The following is a 6,104-nucleotide window of genomic DNA, read 5'->3' as shown; positions in this document are numbered from 1 at the left end:
TTAAAGGTGCCTGTTCACCCCACACTACATGGAGTCCCTTCAGTTTCTTTATTTTCCATCCCAACTGTCGTCACCACGGAGCAGGCTGTGTCTCCAGGGTGCCTCACCTCCACACCGTGACCCAGAATTGTCCGACTCATTTGCAGTTCTTCCTCTCTCCTCCACGACCCTCATGAAGGCCTCCTCTCCCCTCCTGCTGTCTCTGCAGAACTAAGTAGGCTCAGGGCAAATGTTGATTTCAAAAGCTCTCTGGGCTTGCTAGCTCAGAGAGCACCAAGGTGGGGCAGAATTGGCCTCAAGATTTCTTAGTTCCAAAACATGTGCTTCACTGAGATCAAATGCCTCTGGAATGCTAAGTCAAAGAAAGCCATTCACTCCTGTGTTTAATTTGAGACTGGTGCAGCAAGCAAGTTGCACTAATGCCCGTCTCTTCTGCAAACCAGGGTATAATTTAATGGAATACAAGATTACCTGTTAAAGATCTGACCGGGCCATGAAACACACCAATGTGTGCCCTGAGTTCAGCGGGAGCTGCGTGTGCGCCTGCCTGTGTGTGCTGGAGGCAGATGAGGGCGGGGAACATCACAGGACAAGCTTACAGGAAGAACATAGAGAGCGGAGAGAGGAATTAGATTTGTGTTTCTCTTAATGTATCCCCAGTCACCCCCATTGGGCTGAAAGTGCATAGTCAAATATTTAAAAAGGAAATAATGAGTCTTGCGTTCAAGCTTCACGGAAGAAAGAGAATTAAAAGAGCTGAGCAGACAAAAAGAAGCAAGCACAAAAAAGGAAAACTCCTAATTAGTTAATACAAAACATGCTGAATCCAATTATGAGAGTCCTGCAATTCGGGTTCAGTACTCTTTCTGACCAGAGGAGAACAAATATGTCTTTAAATCAATACGGCATACCGGAGCATTTCGACTTCACCCACCACTGTCTGTGGCTGTAAAGGGGCGTTAGGAAGAGCCCACCAGGGAAGTGCTGACCTGCCTTCAGGTTGAGGCTTGCTGCTATAATTTTCTCAAACCCCCAAGAGATTGGTAAAGAAATCAGAGTAGTTCATTAGCATATGGCTGGCTAAAATCTATTGATTTTTAACTCCATAGAATATTCTGTTTTCATTACCATCTGCTGAGTTCTATCTATCTCTGTTCCAGGCTGCTTTCCCCCAGTTCACCACGAATCTATGCTCTAATGAGAACACACCTAGAGGAAAACAGGGGAGGACCCACTTTGCTGTCAGCTACTGTCACCGTATTCCGGGAATCTTCCTTCTGAATTCCAGCTTAGGATTTTTTAGAAAGTAGCAGAGTATTTAATCTTCAATAATTAGACTTTGCCCAAAAGGACAAACTCATTTATATTACTGTCAATTTAACCCAATCTCTCAACAGTTGTATTCAGTGTTTTATTGTAATATTTTAAACAACTTGGTAGAAATGAGACAATTAAGATAAAAATGTCAAAGCGGTCTTCATCTTAATCTGAAGACTGTTCTAAATTTAGAAAATGCAGTTATACACAGGAAAGCAGGTACAAAAATATAGATTTGGTCAACTCTTTTGACAATATCAGGTTCATTCAGGCTCAGAGTTGAGGGGAAGGAGTCTGTCACAAAGAATTTGTCCAGGCCAAGCGGGCTGCCCTTTAGAGAGCACAGTCAAATTCACAACAGCCAGCAGCCTTTTGTGCTCAAGGCGGGTGTGGGTGCCTGGGAGGGAGAACTGGGAACTGTGGCATTCCCTTGCCATTTCTGCCTCCTCTCAGTGACTCCTTTGAGGTTCGAGGGTCAGTCTGGTGTTGCAGTAAGCGTCAGCTTTCCCTGTTTTCAGAAACACACACACACACACACACTCACACTCACACTCAAGAATGGAAGATAAAAAGCACCAAGAGCAAAGGGGCTGCCTAAAGGACAGACGGTGCCCTGGGATCTGTTTAAAATGTGGTCAACAGAATGCCTGTGAGGGGCTGGCCGTCTGCAGGAGACCCTGGAACCATGTCTCCCTGCTTTCTTCTGTCCTTTTTTTCCATTCACTTTGCCTCCTCTCTCTCAAGAACCACGTCACAGCTACGAATTGCTTTCCAAAGTGTGCATGACCCGGGGCAGCCATGTCTCCCAAAGCTGGTGTCCTGCACCCCGGTCCGGGGCTGTGCTTTGCACCAGGGGAGTCACAGCTGAGGCACTTGGAGAGCCTTGTGCAGCCACACGCCCTTGGAGGGTCAGATGCTAGTCACCAGGGCAAAGGCACTGAGGAGCCCTGCGGCCAGAGAGTCAGTCAAACCAGGTTGAATGCAGGTTTCTTGAGCTGATTTGGCCAAGGTCTCCTTGGCGGCCCCCACAGCCTTACCACTGTCCATGCTTGGACTAGCACTTCCACGGCAAATTTGAGGCAGAATGCTGCTACGTTTCCACCAGCCTGAGCTGCGTGTGTCTCTGGGAGGTCCTGGTGGTGGGAATGTCCTGGAGCTCCACGCAGGCTCTGTGTCAAGCGCCGGGGCTGTGGGGCTATGCAGAGCTGAGGCTGGCCTGCCTCAGCACCTCCCAGAGTGTGGAAGGCTGGACCCTGGCCTGGTCAGTGCCCGGGCTCTCCTAGCTGTGACTCATTTCCCGCCACATCATAGGGAAGCTGGGCTGCAGCCTGTGTCCATCCATTTCCACCCCGGGATTGCTGGTGAGCAGCTCATGGAGCTGGCTGGATCCCTCGCAGCTCTGCCATTGGAGAGGCGGCCCCGGTGCCCGTCCTGCTGTCTGCATCACGTCTCTGAGTCATGAACTGTCTGCCTCACTCTTGAAGCAGTCACTAGAGACAGACTGTCCAGAGAACCAGAGACAGTGATAGGTAAGAAAGACATCTGCAATCTCTAAATCCTCTTGAAACCCTTGGCAATTAGTATAAATGACAAAAATACAAACCAAAAATGGTCAATATTTAAATATCCGAGTTGCTACAGCGTGACACTATTGGGGAAAGGTGCAGTCCCAAACAGTAAACTTGATCTAAGGGAAAGATGGCCTGGATTTCCAGGGACTATCAGTGTCCCTGGCCAGCGGCTTACAAGGCAGTTTGGAGGAACTGTCATTTGGAAAGTTCTGCCTTGTGTATGAAAGAGAGTCCCCTCTTAAGGCAGTGGGCAGGCCACTCAGGACTGCGGGCCACTGCCTTCCCTCACTGCCCTGAGGAGCTCTGCCCATTGCTCTCCAGAGACGACCAGGCATTGCGTGTAGCTTTAACCTGTGAGGAGCCGCCGGCAGCCCCGTGGCTCCACCTCTTCTGGGCGTAGGACGGGGTTAGGATTCACTGGTGTTGGGTCTTTTTGCCTCAGTGCTGAGTTATTGACTGAAGCATCCTGCTAGAACCCAGCAAAGCTACTATCCACAGGTGTTCTTGCTCCTTGATTTCACATTATGTAAATTAGTATGTTCTTAATTTCCCTAGAGCTGAAAAGACTTGTTATCTGAACAAGCTACAGCCGTCATAAGCGGGTTCTCACCTTGAGCCGACTCTGCACAATACTAATGCAGTCTTTCAATGTGAGCGGAGTGTGCCCGGGACCAGCTGTGGGGATGTCAATGTAGACCACCCACTAGGCCCATGAAAGGGTTTCTTTAACCTCAGGGAGGAGCCCATAAGGTCAAAGAACCTAGGAGGGCTTCAGCTCAGCAAGCCACAGAACCTAAAAGATTCCATTAAGGAGCTCCGGATTTGTAATTTCAGTAGCCTAAGCCTGTGGTTCTATTTAGTCCAAAGCCCATGTCCTAGGATCAGAATTCTGATGAGGTCTCCATTCCCTACTGTACATTGCTGCAGATTCCGCTACATCAGGCAGGTGGGACAAGAGAACAGAGGGGTGACTCCCCAGAGAACTCTAACTGGGGCACGAGGGAACTCCTTCCCATAAGAAGCCTGGACCTACCGGATATTAAGACCCCTTCTAATGGCCTTTTGTGAAACAAGGGTTCATCAGGGTTTCTGCACTCTGGTCTAGCACCGTGAGCTGAGAGACCAGGTCTTGATCATTCTCTAAACTGGAATTACTAAACATTAGATGCAGAGATGAAGCTCTCTCTTTGAAAAACATAGGAAATATTTTCTTAGGTTTCTCTAAAGAAGATGAAAGAAGAACAGACGAAAATGTGAAAACGAAAGAATTTGAGAGATTATCCTTTCTTTTAGCTAAATCTGTTCATGAACTCTGTGGTCTAAGCCACGGGTGTTCCCTGGGCCACACTGGAAGAAGACAAATTGTCTTGGGCCTCACATAAAATACACTAACACCAACGACAGCTGATGAGCTAAAAACAAAACGGAAAGTCTGTGCATGATTTTTGTGATATCAGCCACCACAGATAAGCAAACAAGTCCTTGCATTCAAAGGGCTGAGCGTGGCAGGACTCTAAGCCTTCCTGTAGGAAATAAGGAAATGTGGAGAGAATGAAGGTTTTGGTAAGATGATAGAATGACAAAGAAAACTCCAGTAGCAGCTGAGAATTCTGCAGGAAGGAAATCAAGTGCCAACAGCCAACCAGCAAAGCTTGGCAGAGACTCCATTGATGGGCAGAGCAGGGCGGAGGGTGGAGGAAGCTGAGAGGCCCGTGTCGGGACACAACAGGGCAGAGAGAGAAAGGATTCCCCCAGAGGAGGAGAGCGGGGCAGGGCTGGACAGAGACCGCCTGTGTCCATATGCGCTTAAGAAGGGCCTGCTGGGGTGGCCAACTGTCCCAGTTTGCCTGGGATTGTTGTAGCATTAGCACTAAAAGTCTATGCTCTGGGACACCTTCTGTCCTGGGCAAATAAGAAGACGGGGGCTCCTCATTCCACTCTGATCCTGATAAAGCAGGAGCTCCCAGGGTTCACATTTGAAACTACGCGGGACTCACAGAACAGGGGTAAACAGTGCCTCTCCAAATTCATGTCCACCCTGAACCTCAGAATGTTACTTATTTGGAAATAGAGTCTGTGCCAATGTAATTAGTTAAGATGAGGTTATATGGAGCTAGTATGAGCCCTAGTCCCATGGCTGGTGTCCTTATAAGAAGACAGAAGAGAGACACAGAAACACATGGGGGGACAGCATGTGACAAGAGCTGTGTCCACAAGCCAGGGAATTCCGAGGCACGGTAGCAGCACGGGCACCAGCAGAGGCAAGGAAGGAGGCCTCCCCCGCACCATCAGAGTGCTAGTCCCACTGACGCCTTGATTTTGTACTTCTAGGCTCCAGAATTGTGAGAGAATAAATTCTGTTTTTAAGTCACCCAGTTTGTGGCAATTTTTTTACATCAGCCACAGGAAACAAATACAGTCATCTGATTTCTTTTTGGCCATAATCAATGACTCATTTCTATCTTTTGGGGGTTTCTCTTAATTCTCTGAAATAAAACCAGGTTGGGCTTGCAGAGGCAGGTGTGTTTGGCTTGGAAAGACCAACTAGATATGAAGGCCACACCTGGATGCTCAGACGAGACTCCCACTTCTTGGAGTCCTGAGTCAGAAGAGCTCCGTTCCACGTGCCCAGGAAAGCACACACGGTCAAGGACTTCCGGAAACAGCCTCTAGTCGTTGGGTCAATCATCAGTCCATTCTATCTGCAGGCATCACTCAGGCATCCCCCACGGAAGAGAGGGGGATGCCCAGACACTTCCACGAGAGACTGAGAGGCACTGCAGGACTGTGAGCATGGAGAGGGTGCTGCATTCTCCGCCTACTCTTCAGCTTATGTCATCTCGAGCCTTTGATATAAAACAAGCTTGTCCAACCCACAGCCTGTGGGCCACATGCAGTTCAGGACAGCTTTGAATGCAGCCCAACAGCAATTCGTAAATTTTCTTAAAACATTATGAGATATTTTTTGTGATTTTCTTTTAGCTCATCAGCTATCGTTAGTGTTAGTGTATTTTACGTATGGCCCAAGGCAATTTTCATCTTCCATTGTGGCCTGGGGAAGCCAAAAGGGTGGGCACCTCAACACAGCCAAGGTCCCTGGGGACACGGAGGGTGACCAATCTCTGCCCTCCACCTCCAGACAACCCCCTCTCCACCTCTGCTCTGCAGACATCCTCTGCCTTCCACTTCTCCTTTCCAGACACCTGCCCTCCACCT

At 48.7% G+C, this 6,104-nt stretch overlaps 1 annotated feature.

Annotated features, from left to right (window-relative positions):
* Positions 5,374-5,668: an enhancer, noted in NCBI's record as "tiled region #1936; K562 Activating non-DNase unmatched - State 10:DNaseD". NCBI's record gives its function as "activates a minimal TATA promoter and a strong SV40 promoter by Sharpr-MPRA in K562 cells {active_cell/tissue: K562}" and the evidence as "EXISTENCE:reporter gene assay evidence [ECO:0000049][PMID:27701403]".

This window comes from Homo sapiens, chromosome 5, assembly GCF_000001405.40.
Source record: "Homo sapiens chromosome 5, GRCh38.p14 Primary Assembly".
NCBI lineage: Eukaryota > Metazoa > Chordata > Mammalia > Primates > Hominidae > Homo > Homo sapiens.
Note: the sequence above shows the minus strand (reverse complement) of the source record. Positions and strands in the feature narration are given on the sequence as shown.